This window comes from Homo sapiens, chromosome 10 (genome assembly GCF_000001405.40).
Source record: "Homo sapiens chromosome 10, GRCh38.p14 Primary Assembly".
NCBI classification, from domain to species: domain Eukaryota; kingdom Metazoa; phylum Chordata; class Mammalia; order Primates; family Hominidae; genus Homo; species Homo sapiens.
Window position 1 is genome coordinate 69985613 of NC_000010.11, and position 23707 is coordinate 70009319.

Consider the following 23707-nt stretch of genomic DNA (forward strand, 5'->3'; position numbering starts at 1 on the left):
AGCTAGGACCACAGGTGTGAGCCAACCACGCCTGGCTAATTTTGTTTAAATTTTTGCAGAGACAGATCTCACTATGTTGCCCGGGCTGGTCTTGAACCCCTAAGCTCAAGCAATTCTCCTGCCTTAGCCTCCCAAAGTGCTGAGATTACAGGTGTGAGTTACCACACTGTGCCATAATAGGATAGTTTTCATCTACTTCTCTCAGACTAAGTAAACAAAAAGAGATAACAATATAGATTATAATTAGTAAATAAGTTTTATTGATTAGTTATAGGCATCACACTGCCAAAACAGAAGATTACTTTCTTTTAAAACCTTATTCAATCTATTATAAAAAGCAGAAATCATGAAGGTTTCATTCCTGTGTCCAAAATGCAATCGATTTAGAAATGAATAACAAGGATATTTAAAGAATACATGTATTTTTATTCATGTGTACATTTTTAAGCAGTATTTTTAGTAACTAGATAAAGAAGCAATCAAAACAAATTATAAATTACTTTAAAATATGTGACACTAAGAACACACAAAATTTATACATGAAAACAAAATAGTGCAGGAAAATTTAAAACATTAATTTATTAATAAAAAAAGGATAAAAATAACCCAAAAGCTATAAAAAAGAATAACCAAAATATTCAATGAAAATAGAAGAAAAGAATTATTAAAGATAAAAACAGAAATTAATTTAATAATAAACAAATGAAAGAAAAAGAGTAGTTATTTAGTAATATCCAAATCTGGTTCTTTGTAATGACTAATAAAATAGACAAAATTCTGATAAGTTTATATAATTAGAAAAAAAGGAAAACAAAACAAAAATAAAGAATATTAGAAATGAGAAAGTATATTACAAATTTGGGGGAGAATTTTTAATTTATGAGATATTATTATATATAATTTTTTTTTAGATGGAGTCTCACTCTTTTGCCCAGGCTAGAGTGAAGTAGCACAATCTCGGCTCACTGCAACCTCCACCCCGCCGGGTTCAAGCAATTCTCTTGCCTCAGCCTTCCAAGTAGCTGGGATTACAGGCACCCACCACTACGCCCGGCTAATTTTTGTATAGTAGAGACGGGGTTTTGCCATGTTGGCCAGGCTGGTCTGGAACTCCTGACCCTCAGGTGATCCACCCGCCTCAGCCTCCCAAAGTGCTAGGATTACAGGCATGAGCCATTGCACCTGGCCGAGATATTATTATATATAATTTTATACCAATAAATTTGATGATGGTGAAATTGACGATTTTCAAGGAAAATAAAGTATACTAGAATTAGCACAATTAAGGGGTAGATAACCTGAATAAACAACTGTAAGAAGCATCAGAGATTTATTAATAGAAATAACTCCAGGCTCAAATGGTTTTACAGGCAAGTTCTACCAAATTTTTAAGAAACAGATAATTGCCATGGTACATCAACTATAAAAGTATATAAAAATAGATGAAAATTTTTTGAACTTAAACTATGAAGTTAACATAACCCTGTACTTGACTAGACAAGAACAGCCCCCAAATTAGGCTGTAGGTCCACTCTGTTCAGGAATATAGAAACAAAAATCCCTAATAATATGTTGTGAAATGAAATTCAACAATGCATTTCATGATTAATCCATGAGAATCAAGTGAGGTTTATGCCAGGAATGCAAGGACTATATTAATAGATTAATGAGGAAAAAATGAAAATTGTAATAGATGAAGGAAAAGTATTTGATACTTTTCAATACCCATAAATCAAAACTAATATAATCTTAACTAATTATGAATTTAAAAATGAAAGCTTCATTCAAGAATGAATATCTACAAGAATTTTACACAAACATCCTTCTTAATGGTGAAGTATTAGAGGTAACATTGTATTAGAAGTCCTAGTCAATGGAATAACAAATTAAAAAATTAAAAGTATAAATAGTGGAAAGAACAAGACAAACATCTTCAGTTGTAAATATTATGACACTTTTCTAGAAAAATCCCAAGAGCACAGATTAATGAATCATTAAAATTAATAAAAGGGTTTAGCACAGTAGCCAGATACAATATTATGAACAAAATTTAATATTTTTTCTATATCAGTAAAAACCAGTGGGAAAATATTGTATGGGGGGAAATTCCCTTCAGAAGGTTATCAAACCTAAAAGAAAGGAAGGAAGGGAAGGAAGGAAATGGAAGGAAGGGAAGGAAGTGAAGGAAGGGAAGGAAGGGAAGGAAAGGAAGGGAAGGAAGGGAAGGAAGGGAAGGAAGGGCAGCCTAGCAATTAACCAAACAAGAAATATGGAATTCCAGCTTCTGATAATGACCAAGGAAGCTCTAAATGAACCAACCCTTCCACAGGTAAAACAATAACCTTTGGAAAAAATATGAAAAAAAAACAAATACTTGAGGGCACTGGGAAAAGACCAAAAGCAGGTAGATTTTGGAGCGGAGTTGACAGTTAAAATATAGGAATGACACTGGGTGAGTTTCACATTTTCATGGCTTCAAGCCTGACAGCAGGCTTCAGTCTATGCCATATAGGGTGACTAAAACATCAAAATTGCAGTCTTTCTGACTTGAAAACCTAGAAGACAGAGTTCAGGACAAATATAGCCACTATACAATGAGGCAGTAATACCAGAAAAGAGAGAGTCACAGAGGTAGTGACTAACTTTCGTATATAAACTCTACTTAAATCCCTGCCTGACCCCTGGACCACACATATGTGGACAGACTTCAGCAGCCAGCTAAGGCTAAAAGAACTAAACTGAAATTTAATCTGTCACCAAAGACACAAGGACACGATGTTTATAATTTGAGTCAAACCAAATACATTGCATGCTAAAACAACAACATCAAGGTTCTTCATAGGACTGTAACAAAATCTAGATCTCCATAGCATAGCATTTATAATGCCCAATAGACAATAAAAAATTACTTGATACCCAAATAAACAGAAAATGTGGCTCACTCTCATGAAAAATGTTGATAAATACAAAACAACCCCAAGATGACCCAGATGTTTAAATTAGCAAGAAGGATTTTAAAACAGCTAGTATAACTATGCTTAAGGGTATAAAGGAAAATGTGCTCACAATAAATGATAAATAGAAAATCTCAGCAGATAAATAAAAACTACAGAAAAAAAAACCCAAATGGAAATACTAAAACTGAACAATACAATATCTGGAAAACAATTACAGCAAATTGAGGAAGATGGACAAAAGCAGCAATGAGCGTAAAAATAGATCAATAGAATTATACAATCTGAAGAGCACAGAGAAAAACATTTTTTAATGAACAGAGACTTAGTGATATGTGGGACTATATCAAAAGGTTTAACATCCATGTAATTGGAGTTGCACAAAAGAAGGAGAGAGAATGGAGCAGAAAAAATATTTTAAGAAATTATGACCAAAATTTTCTTAATATGATAAAAGAAGTAAATTTATATATTCGAGAAGCTCAATGCATCCCCAAAAGAATAAAAAATCCACACCTAGGAAGATCATAATCAACCTTCTGCAAACAAAAAAAAGATAAAATTTTTAAAGTGACCAGATACAAGTGACACATATAAACATTGAACAATTATTTGAATGACTGCTGACATCATAAATCATGAAGGCCAAAAGACAATGCAACAATATCTTTAAAATGTTTCAGAAAAACCTATCAACAAAGAATTCTATAATATTCATCATGTCAAGAATGAAAGCGAAAAACAGATATTTTCAGATAAGAGTCGGACACGGTAGCTCACACCTGTAATCCCAGCACTTTGGGATGCCCAGGCAAAAGGGTGGCTTGAGCCCAGAAGTTCAAGACCAACCTAGGCAACACAGGGAGACCCTGTCTCTGCAAAAAAATTTTTAAAAAAAAGGTGGGCATGGTGGCACACACCTGTGGCCCCAGCTACTCAGCAGGCTGAGGTGGGAGGATTGCCTGAGCCCAGAAGTTCAAGCCTCCAGTGAGCCATGATTGCATCACTGCACTCCAGCCTGGCCAACAGAGCAAAACCCTTTCTCAAAAAAAAAAGAAAATAAAAGAAAAAGAACAAAAGAAAGAAAGAAACTAAGAACCAACAGAATCACATTATAAGAAATGCTAAAGGAAAAAAATGATTCCAGATGAAATGGAAATTTAGATTTTCAGGAATTGTGACAAGCATTGGAAATGGCAAATATCTAGGTAAATATAACATAATATTTTTCTCTTTTTTTTCAACTACAAAAAATGGTTTTAAAAATCATGACATGTGATCCATAACATATGTAAAGGCAACACATATGACAACTACATAGCATAATGGATGAGAAGGCATGATTGGATCTATACAGTTGCAAGATTTTAGGGTTCACATAAAGTAGTACAATACTAACTTCCATTAGTTGTAGTAGAACAATACTCCAACTGTGAAGATTTGAAGAAATATGTTGTAAGCCCTAGAGGAACTATTTAAAAAGTAACACAAAGAGTAATATAAAAAGTAATATAAAGAGGAATAGCTAGAAAGTTAATAGATAAATTAAAATAGAAGTCCAAACAGTTTTAATACAATCCAAAAGAAAGCAAGAGAAATGGAAGAACACAGAGGAGGCAAACAGAAGTAAATGTAACCTGCCTATGAAAAAGAACTCTAACTCCTTACTGAAGCCATGAAAGAAGACTTAAATAAATAGAGAGACATTACATTTCTGAATGAATTGAATCAATACTGTAAAGCTGTCAATACTGTAAAGCTCCCACAAATTAAGTTATAAATTAAATGTAATTCAAAGCAAAATTTCTACAGAACTTGTTATGAAATTTGACAGAGTGATTGGAAATAATTTTCTGGCACAGAAAATAATATGTGAGAAGAGCAATGAAATGTTTTTAAAAGAATAATGCAAGGGAGACTTGCCCTGCAAGGTATAAAAGCATCATATGTTGATACAGAGATATTTAAAATAGTGTGTTATACCAGAGAAAACTGAACGTAGGTAGGAACTTCAATAACATTAAGGAGTTGCTCTTAATTTTTCAGAGGTGATAATGGTATTACAGTTATATAGGAAAATGCCGTAATTTTTTATTTCAGAGCTGTATATGGAAGTATTCAGGGGTCAAATGGTATGATGTCTGAGATGTGCTTTAAAACAGTGCAGCAACTAGAGAGAGAGAAAAGGGATAGAGTAAGCATTTGTAAGGAAATATTGATAATTGCTGAAACTGCGATAGTGATATGTTGTATTTATGATACTATTTTCTCTATTTTATGTATGCTTGAAATTTTTCATAAGTAACAATATCTAAGTAACAGACTATTGATGGCTCAACCTAAGATAAATAAGTAATGGACTAGAAGAGATATCCAGAAACAGATCCATGTGTAAATGTGAGTGCTTACTATACAAAATGTTGGCATTTCGAATCAGTGAAGGATGAACTATTCAGTATCTAGTGCTACACTAAATATCCATTTGTAAAAGTAAAATAAAATTAGCCCTTATTTCATCTTTTCCAAAATGAACTCCAAAGGGATTAAGACAATTTTTTGAAAAAAAAATCTACTAGGGGAAAGAAAAAGATTATAATTCTAGAGTAGAATAGTTTTTTCTAAGAACATATAAAATGTAGATGTCATAAGATTTAGAGAGTTGGCTTCATTAAAATTTAAAATTTCACTTTCCACAGACCTCCAAGGGCATTTTTAAACTATGAATGCATAGTAAAAAATGCATAGTAAAACATACATTCATGTTGTTGGAACATGTCATGAAAATCAAACAGTCATTGTGGTTGACCAATAACTTGCAGGTTCGGTAAGTTAATTACACTAAGTATTATAGTTAAGAAGCACCAGTTTTTCTTCTAATACTATATTTGGAAAAATGGGGAGGCAAAAATAGTACAAGATAGAGATGCTCAATCTGTAGCTCATGAGGAAAAGATTCACGAATATACAGTAACTAATCAGAGATGGAGGTAACCTATCAACCAGAATGTGACAATGTAAGGAACTTTGGAATAGGCAGAAAAGAGGACTTGTTGTCTCTAATAAAAAGCTATGCATTTTTAGTGCACACTCTTACAGGTAATCTAAATCTAACTCTATCATTGCCTTTGAGCTACTTTACAACTCTGTAAGTTGTAGATAACTGATATTAATGCAAAATAATTCTTGTATAAACATGAAAATTAATTATATTCAGTGAAAGTTCCATTGATTTTCCTCTTCCATTGTGCAGGAAGCCAGTTATTTTTCCATTTGCACTTTCATTTCAATATTTCTGATATATAAATATGTCTGTTGGATTATCCTTTCAACTGCTTATAATATCTTACCATTTCCTTCATTTAAAAAATTAATCAACTATAAGATTTAACACATGCTTATTTTTAAAAAAAAATTTTAACTGTTCTCTCTGGAAAGACACCATAAAGTTGAAGACAAACAGAAAAAAAAAAGTATAACTTTTTTTGTTTGTTTGTTTGTTTTTTTTAATTTATTTATTTTTTTTTATTGATCATTCTTGGGTGTTTCTCGCAGAGGGGGATTTGGCAGGGTCATAGGACAATAGTGGAGGGAAGGTCAGCAGATAAACAAGTGAACAAAGGTCTCTGGTTTTCCTAGGCAGAGGACCCTGCGGCCTTGGCCTTCCGCAGTGTTTGTGTCCCTGGGTACTTAAGATTAGGGAGTGGTGATGACTCTTAACGAGCATGCTGCCTTCAAGCATCTGTTTAACAAAGCACATCTTGCACCGCCCTTAATCCATTTAAACCTGAGTGGACACAGCACATGTTTCAGAGAGCACAGGGTTGGGGATAAGGTCACAGATCAACAGGATCCCAAGGCAGAAGAATTTTTCTTAGTACAGAACAAAATGAAAAGTCTCCCATGTCTACTTCTATCCACACAGACCCGGCAACCATCCGATTTCTCAATTTTTTCCCCACCCTTCCCGCCTTTCTATTCCACAAAACCGCCATTGTCATCATGGCCCATCCCCAATGAGCCGCTGGGCACACCTCCCAGACGGGGTCGTGGCCGGGCAGAGGGGCTCCTCACTTCCCAGTAGGGGCGGCCGGGCAGAAGCGCCCCTCACCTCCCGGATGGGGCGGCTGGCCGGGCGGGGGGCTGACCCCCCCACCACCCTCCCGGACGGGGCGGCTGGCCAGGCAGAGGGGCTCCTCACTTCCCAGTAGGGACGGCCGGGCAGAGCGCCCCTCACCTCCTGGATAGGGCGGCTGGCTGGGCGGGGGGCTGTCCCCCCCACCTCCCTCCCGGGCGGGGCGGCTGGCCGGGCAGAGGGGCTCCTCACTTCCCAGTAGGGGCAGCCAGGCAGAGGCGCCCCTCACCTCCCGGATGGGGCGGCTGGCCAGGCGGGGGGCTGATCCCCCCACCTCCCTCCCAGACGGGGCGGCTGGCCGGGCGGGGGGCTGACCCCCCCCACCTCCCTCCCGGACGGGGTGGCTGCTGGGCGGAGACGCTCCTCACTTCCCAGACGGGGTGGTTGCCGGACGGAGGGGCTCCTCACTTCTCAGACGGGGCGGTTGCCAGGCAGAGGGTTTCCTCACTTCTCAGACGGAGCGGCCGGGCAGAGACGCTCCCCACCTCCCAGACAGGGCTGCGGCCCAGCAGAGGCGCTCCTCACATCCCAGACAGGGCGGCGGGGCAGAGGTGCTCCCCACATCTCAGACGATGGGCGGCCGGGCAGAGACGCTCCTCACTTCCTAGATGGGATGGCGGCGGGGAAGAGGCGCTCCTCGCTTCCCAGATGGGATGGCGGCCGGGCAGAGACGCTCCTCACTTTCCAGACTGGGCAGCCAGGCAGAGGGGCTCCTCACATCCCAGACGATGGGTGGCCAAGCAGAGACGCTCCTCACTTCCCAGACGGGGTGGCGGCCGGGCAGAGGCTGCAATCTCGGCTCTCCGGGAGGCCAAGGCAGGCGGCTGGGAGGTGGTTGCAGCGAGCCGAGATCACGCCACTGCACTCCAGCCTGGGCACCATTGAGCACTGAGTGAACGAGACTCCATCTGCAATCCCGGCACCTCGGGAGGCCGAGGCTGGCGGATCACTCGCGGCTAGGAGCTGGAGACCAGCCCGGCCAACACAGCGAAACCCCGTCTCCACCAAAAAAAAACGAAAACCAGTCAGGCGTGGCGGTGCGCGCCTGCAATCGCAGGCACTCGGCAGGCTGAGGCAGGAGAATCAGGCAGGGAGGTTGCAGTGAGCCGAGATGGCAGCAGTACCGTCCAGCCTTGGCTCGGCATCAGAGGAGACCGTGGAGGGAGACGGAGAGGGAGAGGGAGAGGGAGAGGGAGAGGGAGAGGGAGAGGGAGGTATAACATTTTAACAAAGGAGAAATTTCCAAAATATTCGAAGAATACCCATTAAAATATGTAAAAAGCAAAACCTAACTGGAAAACAAGCAAATGGTTTGAACAAGCAAATCATGGAAGAAAAAGTGTAAATGTCCAATACATTTGAAAAATTGCATGTATAATTTAGTACAGAATGTAAGCTGCTACAAGAAAATGATCTCACATAGGGACTCAATAAAAATAGACGTTTATAGAGCTGGGCATGGTGGCACACACTTGTAGTCCCAGCTACTTGGAAGACTGAGGTGGGAGGATTGCTTTAGGCCAGGAGTTCAAGGCCAGCCTGGGCAACATAGTGAGACTCCAGTCTCTTAGAAAAATATATATATATATATTTATTGCTCTCTCTCACATAATAGATGGCCTCTGCACCACAAAACAGTCAGTTGGGCTGGTAGGGAAGCTTTGCCATTCTTACTATACGGCCTTCAACAATGCTCTGGTCAGCACTTTTCCAGCTGCTGGAAAGAGGAAAAGGGGAAGACCAAGGCAAGCTTTCATCCCATTGGCCTGAACTAAGTCACATGACCACAGCCAGCTGCAAAGGCAGCTGGGAAATGTAGTCTTTAACCACTAAAAGGAAGAAGGTCGATACTAGAGGACAGTTAGAGATATCTACCATAATGCAAAGAAAAGTAAATTAAAACAGTACAAAGCCATTTCCAGTCAGATTGTCAAACATGTTTAAGTTTTATAGTATGAAAACTGACAAGAACAAAAGGAAACAAATATCCCAATATATTATTACAGAGGGTATAAGTTCAAGAGAGTTTGGCAACATCGCTCAAACTTAACACATCTACACGTGAATCTGAAATTCTCTTTAAACAGACTTACCACATAGGAATTCTTACACTTGTTCTAAAAAAGAATGCACAGGTGTATTCATCGCAGCATTGTCTGTTACAGGAAAAAAAAAGAAAGAAACTTAAATGTCCATCAATAGAGGAAATAATCTTAAATTCTGACATAATTCCTTCTATAGAAAGGAAACTAGCTCTAGGATATACAGCAAACTGGAAGAGCAAGATACACAATAATATACAAATGATACTATTCATAGGACAATATATAATTGTCCTACGAATATACTAGTACATATGAAACCACATGGAAATAAAATAGGAATTATGCTCACCAAACAGCAGTAACTTATCCCTAGAGCAGGGAGATGAGTGTGCTAGAAAGAAGGCAAACTTTATTGTTTTCTATCCACTTAATAATTATTTTAATATTTTACAGTAAGAATGTTTTCATGTATTCCACTTTTTTAAAAAACAAAAGACAGGGAATGAAAAGAAACCAAATTGGGGAAGGAGAGTGTACTAATAAAACAAAAAAGTGAAGAGATATAATACAATGGTAGTATCAATGGTGAAATTAAAACTGATTTTTCTCTCCAATTTTTCTGCAATAGTTTATTTGTTTTTGGAATAAAAATTTTTTTTAACTTGTCTCTGAGCTGGACAGTAAACTGACTGAGTGCCTGGTATTTCTCCAACTCACTTCCTGAAAGTAGCCTCGCTCTTCTGAATAGAAACCAACAGACCTATGTACCTTTGGGAAAAAGGATGAGGACTTTTCTACTGCATTTTAGGATGGTTTCCACAAAGTAGTTAAGTAAATTTGCTCTTTCATCTTTTCAGATTATCATTTAATCTTAAAACCATGTGGTGATGATAAAGATGACGATGACAGACTTTGTAGCTACAGGAGGAAATGTTCTTGACGATTTTAAGTAGAATAAAAAAAGGAAGAAACAAAACTGTAGACTCTAATTACACACGAACAAAGTTAACAAATATAACTCAAAGAAAAAGTAGCTCCCTGAATGTTTCTGAGGTAGAGTGATGGGATTATGAATTTTTTTTGGTCAATATATCCTTTAAGATTGCTCTAAGAATAGATAAAAATCAATGATGGAGCAGGGGAAACAGGCAGAAAATAAGTGGGAAACAATTTCCCTGGAATACAATAAAACAGACAAATTCTGATCAATGGTTCAGAATTTTTTTGTTTGTTTTTGGTTTGAGACAGAGTCTGTCACCCAGGCTGGAGTTAGGTGGCATGATCATGGCTCACTGCAGCCTCAAATTCCTGGGCTCAAGCAATTCTCCTGTCTTAGCCCTGCAAATAGCTGGTACTTCAGGTGCGTAGTCACTACTCGCAGCTGTTTGTATTTTTTGCAGAAACAGGGTTTCACCATGTTGCTCAGGCTGGTCTCAAACTCCTGGCCTCAAGTGATCCACCCACTTCAGCTTCCCAAAGTGCTGGGATTACAGGTGTGAGCCATTGCACCTGGCCTGAAATTGAGTTGTTTTTAATCATGGAAAATAACATCAATACAACATGCAAACAATACCAAAAGTTATTCAAGAAAATAAATGGAATAATTTACATAAAGTAACCCACAATGATTTGGAATACAGACAACTCTATTTTATAGGAAAACCTTTCTAAATCCCTACAACACACAGAGTATGAAGCCATCAGCCACCACAAAGAGAATTAATTGCTACAGAGCATCTCTTAGGGCCAGGCTGGTTGCCACAGCTGAACATAAAATGTCCGTCTTCATAAAGCACTGTCCACTCCTACCACTTTGTTAACAGGTCAGCTCTCAGCACTTTGAGATTCCCCAGAGGACAGAAATTATTTTGTTTTCTTACAAATATACTGCTTAGAAACTCCTGAAATTCCAAGACATTTTTCTTAAGAATTAGAGATGCCAGCGATAATTTTCAGACTCTACAACCTCTGTTAAGGTTCTCAGCCAACTACTAAACAATACCATTTGCAATTTGCAGTCTTTTAAGCAGATTGCAAACCATGTGACTGTTTCTAATTCCAAGCCATCTTAAATTTCACTAGTAAAATTTCCAAACACTGTTTGAAATGTGTTGCTAACATTTACGCATATAACATCTACTGCATTTCCTCTAATTTAAAAACTATCAAAATAAGCTGCAAAATGTTGCCCAATATAACTTTTTTTTCTGCTAAACACTCTCTGCTTGAAACTCACAGCTTCATTATGTTACTGGTCATCAGCCAGTTCTCTCCATTCCCTTACCATTCATTCAAAAACATCAATGTTAATTTCACATATGAATATTCTCAAGATAACACTCATCTTTATAATGTATCTTCTCCTTAACTTCCTGTGCTATCTTCCATGATAGCACATGAAACACAGGTTTCAACAGGTAAGGGGTAGGCTAAGCCCCAATTTTAGAGCTCACCTGCCCTGCATCATCTAGATGGCTATTCTCCACCAACCCCAGCTCATCACAAGTGGGCCAGGAATAGAAGTTATTGCAAGTGGGCCAGGAATAGAACTTAGGGGTGGCCAACATAGTGTAATCAAGGGTCACAGCCCAATAGAGTAAAAAACTGGGAGAGAAGGACAAGATCAACTTTCTGAAAGGGGAAAGTCTTGAGCCTAAGCCAGCAAGAATAGTTACCAAAGTCAATCCCTTTGAGAATAAGAATTGAGAGGTGGATTCAAAGAGTAAGGCCAAAACTGAATTAACTGAATTAAAGCTCCAACAATGCCAGAACAATTGAACAGTTACTAGAATCACCTTAATGGGGGCCTTGGAATTATCTTTATGAACCAATTGACACCTGGTGCATGACTTAAAAGCATACGCTTTAAAAGATGAATAGATCCAAACTTTAGTATGAAGTAGATCTTCCACAACTGATGACACCTGCTTCACAAACTATAAATTTTCTCTTTCCCTTTTCAAAAATTAATTATACAGAGAACCACTTGCCCAATTAGAAGCAGTCCAACATATCCCTCTTGAGGTATCCTCTCTCTACCTCCTCCACCTCCACTACCTACGGACCACTTGGAAGCTTACCCAGGTTAAAGTGCTGCAGGCTCTTTCTCATGCCAAGCTGAGAGAAGGCTACAACAGCTCCCATGGCACTGGCAAGGACTCAGGAAAACGGGCATTCTCATACATGGCTAAGAAAAGTTTCACATTCTACAGCATTTTAAAAAAGTTATCTGGCAATAGCTCTTGACTTACAAAATGCACGTACATTTCACACAACAGTCCAACTTATAGGACTCCACCTTATAAGAACTAAAAGAATTAGCCCACAAGAACATATGTACAAGAATGTGACCGGGCACAGTGGCTCACACCTGAATCCCAGCATTTCAGGAGGCCAAGGCGGGTGGATCACTTGAGGTCAGGAGTTCGAGACTGGCCTGACCAACATGGTGACACCCATATCTACTAAAAATACAAAAATTAGCTGGGCATGGTGGCGGGCACCTGTAATCCCAGCTACTTGGGAGGTTGAGGCACAAGAATTGCTTGAACCCAGGAGGCAGAAGTTGCAGTGAGCCAAGATTGCACCACTGCACTCCAGCCTGGGGAACAGAGCAAAACTCTGTCTCAAAAAAATAAAAAAAAAAAATGTTTAAGGAGATTTTTTCTTGCCGGGCACAGTGGCTCATGCCTGAATCCCAGCACTTTGGGAGACTGAGGCGGGTGGATCACTTGAGGTCAGGAGTTCAAGACTGGCCTGACCAACATGGTGAAACCCATCTTTACTAAAAATACAAAAATTAGGCCAGGAGCGGTGGCTCACATCTGTAATCCCAGCACTCTGGGAGGTCGAGGTGGGCGGATAACGAGGTCAGGAGATCGAGACCACCCTGGCTAACACGGTGAAACTCCGTCTCTACTAAAAATACAAAAAATTAGCCGGGCGTGATGGCGGGCGCCTGTAGTCCCAGCTACTCGGGAGGCTGAGGCAGGAGAATGGCATGAACCCAGGAGGCGGAGGTTGCAGTGAGCCGAGATTGCCCCACTGCACTCCAGCCTAGGTGACAGAGCGAGACTCCGTCTCAAAAAAAAAAAAAAAAAAAAAAAAAAAACATACAAAAATTAGCCGGGCATGGGGGCGGGCACCTGTAGTCCCAGCTACTTGGGAGGTTGAGGCAGGAGAATCACTTGAACCCAGGAGGCAGAGGTTGCAGTGAGCCGAGATCAAGCCCCTGCACTCCAACCTGGGTGACAGAGTGAGACGGTGTCTCAAAAAATAAAAAAATTAAAAAAACAGAGAGGTTTTTTTTTTTTTTACTGTAGAAACTATACAAAGTGGACAAGACACTATGAAAAAGATTGGGCAATTTTTTTTTAAGGAAACAATTTTAAACCTGGCAAAAGAAAAAGCTAGGTGTAGTGGTGTGCCTATAGTTCTGGCTACTCAGGACGCTGAGATGGGAGGATTGCTTGAGCTCAGGAGGTCAGGGGTGCAGTAAACTGTGATTGCACCAGTGCATTCCAGCCTGGGGAACAGAGCAAAATTCTGTCTAAAAAAGAAAGAAAAAAGAAAAACTTCTGGAAAATATTTAAATATTCATTAAAATTAAAACTCAGTGATGAAATAAGTGGGTTGGCTGGTTTTGTTCTACTGAGAACAGCTATAAAAGCTAGACTAAATATTTTTAACCTGTTTGAAGGCATTGGAGAACTATCAAAATAGTTAGGATTTATAGAACAAAAGACCCAAAATAAAGGAAATCCCAGAAAGGGGACTATAACATAACTTCCTCCCTTAAAGTATTTGCCAATTTGAAAACAATAGCTGAGGAGCTGAACAATCTTTCAGTTGACTTACTGACTTCAAGTTGACTGGGAGCCTAAAAATCGGAGTTAGGCCCACCAAGGAGGTAAGACATTTCAAATGAAACCCTGAAGGGTTATACCCTAAAAGAAAGAGTGAGCCAAAATAGACCAGCCCTTCTAAGGATTAAAGCCTACTGTATTAGTGTTCTCCAGAGAAGCATAACTAAGGCTGGGCATGGTGGCTTACAGCTATAATCTTAGCACTTTGCGAGGCCAAGGTGGGAGGGTTACTTGAGGCCAGGAGTTTAAGACGAGCCTGGGCAACATGATGAGACCCTGTCTCTACAAAAAAAAACTTTTTAAATTAGCGAGGCTTGAGGATGTGTATCTGTGGTCCCAGCTACTAGGGAGGCTGAGGCAGGCAGATCACTTGAGCCCAAGAAGTCAAGGCTGCAGTGAGCTGTGTTTACACCACTATACTCCAGCCTGAGTATAAGATCAAGACCCTGTCTCAAAAAAACAAAATAAAATAAAATAACCACAGAACTAATAGGAGATAGATAGACAGACAGACAGATAGATGGAGATTTATTATAGGAATTGACTCACACAATTATAGAGGCTGAAAATTCCCATAATCTGTCATCCGCAAGACAAAGAACTAGGAGATCTAATGGTGTAATTCAGGACAAGTCCAAAGGCCTGAGAAACGGGCAGGTCAATGGTGCAAGTTGCAATTTGAGTCTGGAAACACCCTCACAAACATACCTAGAAATAATGTTTTGCCAGCTACGTGGTCATCACGTAGCCCAGTCAAGTTAACACATGCCATTAATCATCACAACTACCTTTATATCATATCAATCTCTAATTTTTTTTAATTTTTTAAAAATTTATTTATTTATTTATTTATTTATTTATTTATTTATTTATTTTGAGGCAGAGTCTTACTCTGTTGCCCAGGCTGGAGTGCTGTGGTACGATCTCCACTCACTACAACTTCTGTCTCCCAGGTTCAAGTGATTCTCCTGCCTCAGCCTCCCCAGTAGGTGGGATTACAGGTACCTACCACCACACCTGGCTAGTTTTCGTATTTTAAGTAGAGACAGAGTTTCACCATGTTGGCCAAGATGGTCTTGAACACCTGACCTCAAATGATCCGCCCACCTCAGCCTCCCAAAATGCTAGGATTACAGGTGTGAGCCACCATGCCTGGCCTTCAATTTCTAATTGAACTAAGGTTATCTGCCACTGATCTGCTTGCCAGAAGCAAAAGTAAATTCTCTTTGGAAGGAAATTTAATCATCTAGAGACACAATTTATCTCTAAAATTTTTGTGTGTGATCTTTGGCATTTCACCAAAGATAACCAAGCAGATAAAAGTATAAATACTGACTAAAAATCAAGACAAAAGCAAAAACAACAGAAACAAACAGGAAATTCAAATATTTTAGTTATTAGACACAAACTTTAACTCAAACTAGTGATTCCACTTCTAAATGAAAATGGTATTGTGAGGAGCTTCACAGACCTGCCCCACAGTGAAACCACCACAGAATTTTTTATAAAATGGTGAAAATTATAAGAAAAAAACCAATCATTTAAATTATCTGGAAATGTTCTTAATGGAAATATATCAAGTAGAGATCTTTATTCAAGAAATTCTACTAAATCATAGCAGAAATAGCAAGTCTGTGGCACTTCAGCCATGACCCACCCTCTATCCACCCTTCCCCCACAGGTCAGGGTAATGGAAGCTCCACTATGAGTGGGTGTGGCCTAGAAGACAGGCTCCCCCTTCCCTCAGCTCCCACTCAAGGGCCACAGTATATACCTACGGAAGGCTAGTGGACAACATTTCCCATCCCCGCAGCTCCATGTTGCAAAGGCTAAATTCTGGGCAAGTACAGCCGACAAGCTGGAGGCTCCCTTCCTTCATCCAGACCCTAAATGTAAAGCAGAGGTTCGACATCAGAAACAGCAGGCTGAGAACACCAGGCTCCAGATCATTCAAAGGGTCCATGCCAGGAAAGGCATCATTCAGAGGGTCCATGCCAGGAAAGGGAAGCCAAGAAGACCAGAGGCTACCACTGCCCGGTTCAGTGCCCTACTCTTCAACCAAACTGTCACTGCAAGAGAATTGGGCTACTATCACTGCTTCCAGCTCCAGAATAGTGGCTCAGAGATTCTGCCCAGCAGACAAGGCAGATTACAAGAATAGAGAGCTCCAAAGCACCTTCCAAAGGTACTGACTTTTTGGAAAAGAATATAGGGAAGTTCAACCTAAGGGCTCTCTCAAAAACAGTGGAAGTTTTGGTGGCAAGCAATTAAGGAAAGGTTGGCAGCTCCATGAGAGCAGCAAACTAAACTACAGTCCAGCTAATTTACCAGAAAGTGTCATGAATGGAGACCGCTAAGAGTCCTCCTGAGATCAAAGCAAACCTCAGAGATTGGCCTCAAAAACTACTCCTGCAAAGAAGTTTAATTTTTTTTTTTTTTTTTGGAGGCCGAGTCTTGCTCTGTCACCCAGGCTGGAGTCCAGTGGCACCAAGTTGGCTCACTGCAACCTCTACCTCATAGGTTCAACCAATTCTCCTGTCTCAACTTCCAAGCAGCTGGGATTACAGGCCCATGCCACCATGCCCAGCTAATTTTTGTATTTTCAGTAGAGACAGGGTTTCACCATGTTGGTCGGGCTGGTCTGAAACTATTGACCTAAAGTGATCCACCTGCCTTGGCCTCCCAAAGTGTTGGGATTACAGGCATGAGCTACCACGCCTGGCCAAGGAGTTTAAATTTAATTGAATAAAACTGTGGAGCAATTTATGCCCTAGGACATTGTCAAAAACTAAATAGAGGAATTAGCTAACAGTGGAGCCCAACATCTGGGTGTGATACCAACAGAGGCAAACAGCATAACAAAGAAATGAGGAAAAGAGACAGAGATAGCCCTGCTAAAACTACTTATTCCAGGGCCGGGTGCAGTGGCTCACCCCTGTAATCCCAGCACTTTGGGAGGCTGAGGTGGGTGGATCACGAGGTCAGGAGATCGAGACCATCCTGGCTAACATGGTGAAACCCCATCTCTACTAAAAATACAAAAAAAATTAGCTGGGCGTGGTGGTGGGCACCTGTAGTCCCAGCTACTCGGGAGGCTGAGGCAGGAGAATGGTGTGAACCCGGGAGGCAGAGCTTGCAGTGAGCGAGATCGTGCAACTGCACTCCAGCCTGGGCAACTGAGCAAGACTCTGTCTCAAAAAAAAAAAAAAAAAAAACTACTTATTCCAAGGTGACCATGAGCATGGCTAAGCCTGCACCCTCTGAGGAGAGACACCAAAGGCTTCAGCTGTGGGAAAACAGACTTTACTAAAATAGTCCAGCTAAATGAGTAACAAATAATAAGAAAAATACAACAACAAACTCAAGAAGAAGGATCTGTATGCAGAATTACTGCAAAATAAAATATAAAATGCCCAGCTTTTAACAAGAAATTATGAGACAGGCAAAGAAACTGGAAGTTGTGACCCATACCTGAGGGGAAAAATCAAGCAACAGAAACTGCCTGTGGGAGGGCCCCGAGGCTACACTTAACACACAAAGACTGAAATGCAGCCATTATAAATATGTTTAGAGAACTAAAGAAAGCACGCTAAAGAAGTAAAGTATGATGACAATGTCTCATCAAAAGAGAATACCAATGAAGAGATACAAAGTACAAAAAAGAACGAAAGGGAAATTTTTGAGTTGAAAAGTACAATCACTGAAATTTAAAATTCACAGAAAAGGCATAACAGTAGATTTAACCTAGCAGAATAAAGAATCAGAGAACATTAAGTAGATGAATAGAGCTTGTGCAATCTCAAGAACAGAGAAAACTTATGAAGAAAAATGAACAAAGCCTCAAAGAATTTGGGACTCCTTTAATTGCATCAACATATGATAAATAAGAGTACCAAGAGAAGAGAGAGAAAATGGTATAAAAAAATTCTTTAAAAAATGGCAAAAACTTCCCAAATTTGATGAAAGCCAGTATTACTCTATATTTCCAAGAAGTTCAAAGAACTCCAAATAGAATAAATGCAGAGATCCACACCCAGACATCTCATAGCACAATTGGCTACCATAAAATAAACTGCTATGGAAACTTGTATACAAATTTTTATGTGGATTCTATTTCATTTCTCTTAGGTATACCTAGTAGTGGAGTTACTAGGTATATGGTAACTTTATGTTTATCCTCTTGAGAAATTATCAGATTGTTTTCTAAAGTGGTTGTACCACTTTACATTCCAATCAGCAGTGTGTGAAAGTTCCAATTTTTCCTTATCTCATGAGCTCTTGTATTAATAATTGTCCATCTTTTAAATTACAGCCATTCTAGTGGTATGAAACAGAGTTTCATTGTGGTTTTCATTTGCATTTCCCTGATGGCTAATGATGTTGAGCATCTTGTCATGCACTTACTGGCATTTGTATGTGTTTTTTGAAAAAATGTGTATTGAGATCCTTTGACCTCCTTTTAATTGTTTACGTGTCTTTTTTTAAATCATTGAGTTGTAAGAGTTCTTCATATATTCTAGATAAAAGTCTCTGATTAGACATACAATTTTCAAATATTTTCTTTCACTCGCTGGTTTGTCTTTTTCACTTTCTTGATGGTATCCTTTGAAGCATAAAAGTATTTAAATTTACAAAAAAGACAGCAAATTCAAATTCATATGCAAATTCAAAGAATCTAGAATAGCCAAAATTATCTTTAAAAAGAAAAACAAAGTTGGAAGACTCACACTTCCCAATTTCAAAACTTGCTACAGTAATTAAGATACTTTGGTACTAGCACAAGGATATGCCTATAGATCAGTGGAATAGAATTGAGAGTCCAAAAATAAAACCTCATGCCAATTGATTTTAGACAAGGGTGCAAAGATAGTTCAAGGGGGAAAGAATGGTCTTCAAAAACAGGTGCTCCAACAACTGCATATCCACATGCAAAAGAATAAATGTGGACTCCTCTCACATAAAACATACATACAAAAAACATGCAAAATGGACCATAAAACAAAATGTGAGAACTAAAGCTATAAAATCTTATTAGAAAATATAGGGAAAAGTATTCATGACCTTCATTTAGGCAAAGCCTTCTTAGGTATAACATTAAAAGCACAAGCAACAAAAGAAGAATGAATTGAATTTTATCACAATCTAAAACTTTCATCCTTCAAAGGATACCAAACTTCGTGCTTCAAAAGATACCATCAAGAAAGTGAAAAAGACAGCTGGGCATGGTGGCTAACACCTGTAATCTCAGCACTTGGGAAGCCGAGGCAGGCAGATCACTTGAGGTCAGGAGTTCGAGACCAGCCTGGCCAACATGGTGAAACCCTGTCTCTACTAAAAATAAAAATTAGCTGGGTGTGGTCTAGGATTACATGTCTGTAATCCCAGCTACTTGGGAGGCTGAGGCAGGAGAATTCCTTGAACCCAGGAGGTGGAGGTTGCAGTGAGCCAAGATGGTACCACTGTACTTCAGCCTGGGCAACAGAGTGAGACAAGAAAGGAAAGGGAAGGGGAGGGGAGGGGAGGAAGGGAAAAGGGAAAAGGGAAAAGGAAAAAGGAAAAGGAAATGGAAATGGAAAAGGAAAAGAGAAAGACAGAAAGAGAGAGAAAGAAAAGAGAGAGAGAGAGCCAGAGAGAGGAAGGAAAGGAAGAAAGGAAGGAAGGGGAAGGAAAAAAGGAAAGTTGGAAGGAAGGGAGAAAGAAAGAAGGAAAGAAGGAACGAAGGAAGGGAGGGAGAGGAAGACAGAAAGGAAGGGAGGGAGGGAGGGAGGAAGGAAGGAAGGAAGGAAGGAAGGAAAAAAGACAAACCAGAGAATGAAAGAAAATATTTGCAAATTGTATGTCTAATCAGAGACTTTTATCTAGTATATATGAAGAACTCTTACAACTCAATGATTAAAAAAAGACATATAAACCAAATAGAAGGTAGTGAAAGGATCTCAAAACACATTTTTCCAAAAAAGGCATACAAATGCCAGTAAGCGCATGACAAGATGCCCAACATCATTAGCCATCAGGGAAATGCAAATCAAAGCCACAATGATACTCTGTTTCATACCACTAGAATGGCTCTAATTTAAAAGATCGATAATTACAAGGGTTGGCATGATGAGGAGAAACTGGAACCTTCATAGCCTGCTGATTGGAATGTAAAGTAGTGCCACCAGTTTAGCAAAACAGTCTGATAGTTTCTCAAGAGGATATAGTTACCATATACCTAGTAATTCCACTCCCAGGTATATACCCAAGAGAGATGAAATATACATTCCCACAAAAATGTGTACACAAATGTTCATAGCAGCATTATTTATAAGAGCCCAAAAGTGAGGGGGCAGGGGGACAAATGCCCATCAACTGATGAATGGATAAATAAAATGTGGTATATGTTTACAATGGAATATTATTCAGCCAAGTAAAGGAATGTAGTGCTGATACATGCCACAACATGGATGAGTTTTTAAAACATTATGCTAAGTGAAAGAAGCCAGACACAGAAGGCCACATATTGTGTGATTCCATTTACATGAAATGTCCTCATTAGGCAAATCCATAGAGACAGAAGCAGATTAGTGGTGGCCAGGGGCTGGGGGGGCAATAGGGAGTATGGGTTTTCTCTTTGGGATGATAGAAATGCTCTGGATTTAAATAGTTGTAATGATTGCACAAATTTGTGAATATACTAATAACCACAGAATTATACACTTTTAAATGGTTAACATGGTGAATTTTGCTATGTGAATTTTATCTCTATTTAAAAAAAAACTGTGGACAATATTTATCTCAAAATCAGGTGACAAGGTGAGTGCACACATTGCCAAAACTCACTCAACATAACACTTAAGATTTGTACATTTTGTTGTTTGTAGATTATACCTCAATTGGAAAAAAATGTTGGGTGTTAAGCTAGCCCCACAACATCAACATACACTTGGGGACAAAACCTTAGTAGCCACAAGACCTGCACTAGCATTGGTGCAGAGGAGAGCAGAGAAAAACAATGGGACACATAATAAACCTGAAAACAGGAGACCCCCAAAATATCCAGTAGGCATTGGTTGGAAAGTATATGGGTCAGTTTTAATTTAGCACCTGAAAGAGAGTGCTTTACACAATCCAATGGCTAGTGAGTGCAAGGGGTCCCCAGTAAGATATGAAGGACCAGAGGCAGTCAACTCTCCGTGAATTCTCAAAATTGACCTGCCTCCCTCTAAGGACAGGGCCCCACCTTGCAGGACAATGGAGGTGAAGAAAAGAGAAGATCCACATGAAAATAGAGGAGATGAACAGAGCCACAAAATCTCAGCAAGGACATCACTATATTTTTTAACACTTCACAAAACACTCCTTGAAGAGGGAGCTCTAGCAAGTTAGCAAAGCCACTCTGCATCATAGCTTCTTCCAAAAGTTTAGGAAATTAATTTTGCATGAAATCGAATAACAGAAAAGCATGCACATCAAAGTCCATATAAAGTTATTATAAGAAAAAAGATCACGAACAAAATAACATTCCTACAGATCATGAAAATATGCCACTAAAATAGGTCCCAGAACTGATCAAAATGTAATCTTCCATTTCAAAATGAGCTAAGTGGCATTTTTAAATGATATAACACATGCAATAACATAAGTAAGAACTAGAGCAACTCAGAAATGCAGCGACAGCTCATCATTAAAAACCACATACTGGTGACAGGTGTTTCGACAACTGTTCGGCTGAGTCTGCTGCAAAGCCGTGTGGTCCGTAAGGCCGCTGGGAGTTTTTCTTTGTTCTCCTGTTCTTTGTTCCCAACAGCAGACCCAGGTTGTTGGACAGAGGGACCTGAGCTGAGCAGCAGGTATTATCTCACTCACCTTTACAGACAGCAGCAGCAGGGTCCAAGGTGAGGGTGGGTTGCAGGGCTGACTGTAGTTCCAAAGCAAGCTGGGTTCTTCTGAAAAATGACAGCGTCTTAAGTCTACAGAGCTGCCTCTAGCAAAAGGTTTGTGTGAGTCCGTGTATGCTGAGCTTTTTGTTGTTTTTTTAGATAAGAAACAGAAGAAAATCATCCCAGATTCTGTCATTCCCTGGAAAGAGAAGGGGAATTCCAAGTTTCTCAGAGGCTCTTTGGGGTCACTAGCCAACCACCCACATGTAGGAGTTAACACCTACCATCACTGGAGGTTTCAAAGACCTGGCTTGGAGAACATGCAGGGAGGAGGGCCGGGATGTGCCCATGCAGAGTCCCCTTGGTGTCACCATGGGCGCGTCACAGCCAGTCAGGCTCTGGATTCTACACCGTGTGTAGCATAGAGAAGTAACTTCTTGTTGTCATTCATTACTACCTTAAAGAACTGGAGGAATCATCTCCTAGGAAACAGTGCCATGTTTGTGCCCAGCAAACAGTGCCCAGGTGCCATCTGGGAAGGGGCAGTTTTATTGAAAGATGTCTTACTGCTTATTCTAGAGTTTTTAGCAACTCCCCTTCTTGCCTCCACCCCCCAGACCTTACTTTTTACCAGCTTGTCTTTTTTTCTTCTTCTTTATCCCAAAGGTTTTAACCTCCAGTCCCTTCTTGATGCCCACTTGATGGAATTCTCCAGCACCATCTGCCCTTGTTCACTCATCTGCTTTTCCTTCTCTTCTCCCTGCAAGCACCTGATTACCATCCTATGATGACTTCTCTCCACTCCCACCCTGCCCCCATGGTCCAGTTATCCCTGGATGAGTGTGGATCTGCTAAAGCCACACACATTCATCTCTGCCTGTACACTTTAGACATACAGTCAGACCCCCACTCACACTTAATTTGGGTGCACATTATCTGTCAATAGACGAAAAAGAGTTTTCTCATTTTGAAATTTAACAGAACAGTCAGGGATACTATTACAAAGTCAAGGTGTACCCTTTGGGTGAACCTGCTGTCAGAATGACAGTACTTCCTATTTGAGAAAAGAGAAAAACAAAAAGATAAAAAAAATTGAAGTGACGCAATTCAGCAAAGAATTCAAATTTTAAAATACATTATTCAAGAATAAATATTATACTATAAGGAACACAAGAGCAAGTAATCACAATGTATAATGCCTTAAGAGAAAATTAGAAAAGCCTTTGAAATAAAAAGAAGCTTGCCCCATCTAGCACATAAGGACCTTAGGAGTCATCACTCTGTCCTAACAAGTTAAAACTTGACAAAACAAAAATCAGTACCTCTTCTTAGATTTGTTAGAAAATTAAATTTGCAGAGCAAACCAGTAGTCCTAGACAGGAGGATACAGAGAATCAACTTACAGGAGCAGAAACTCATAAAAAGAAATCTGTGCAGGAACAAATACCAGGCTAGAAAAACCTGAACTGTAGTTGATGAATTGCTGGAGGCTCCGTGTGGACAAGTCTGGGAGTTAAAGCTCCAGGAGGGCCCACTTGCAAGGGGGATGCCTACACTTTACCTCCAGGAGTTCCTCCGAGTTCTCACAGTGAACATCAGAGAAAAATCTCCTTGGGCTTCCAGCAGGAAGAGGGAAAAGTAATGGTAAGAGGGAGAGGAATAGTAAAGTAAAGGTGTAATTTTGAAATACTCCAGAACATTCTGTTCTTCTTAACAAGGCCTGTCCTCAAGAGAAACTATTTTACCAAAGCCTAACCCTACTAGGATTTTATCAGATCCTAACAAACCTGAGGGAAGGCAAATACCCAAATCCAGGCCCCTGTAGCCATCCTGTCCCACCTAAAGGGGT

The 23707-nt window shown here is 39.9% G+C and overlaps 1 long non-coding RNA gene across 3 annotated transcripts; it reads right to left on the reverse strand.

Annotated features, from left to right (window-relative positions):
• Positions 1-237: 237 nt before the first annotated feature.
• On the reverse strand, positions 238-23707 carry LINC02636 (long intergenic non-protein coding RNA 2636). Of its 3 annotated transcripts, none has more exons than NR_184066.1 (5): positions 22143-23707; positions 21845-22057; positions 15775-15882; positions 9180-9242; positions 238-8218 (listed from the first exon to the last, which is right to left on the reverse strand). It is a non-coding gene; the product is annotated as a long intergenic non-protein coding RNA 2636 (long non-coding RNA). The 3 variants fall into 3 exon arrangements; NR_184065.1 differs by having other exon boundaries at positions 15771-15882; NR_184064.1 differs by lacking the exon at positions 15775-15882.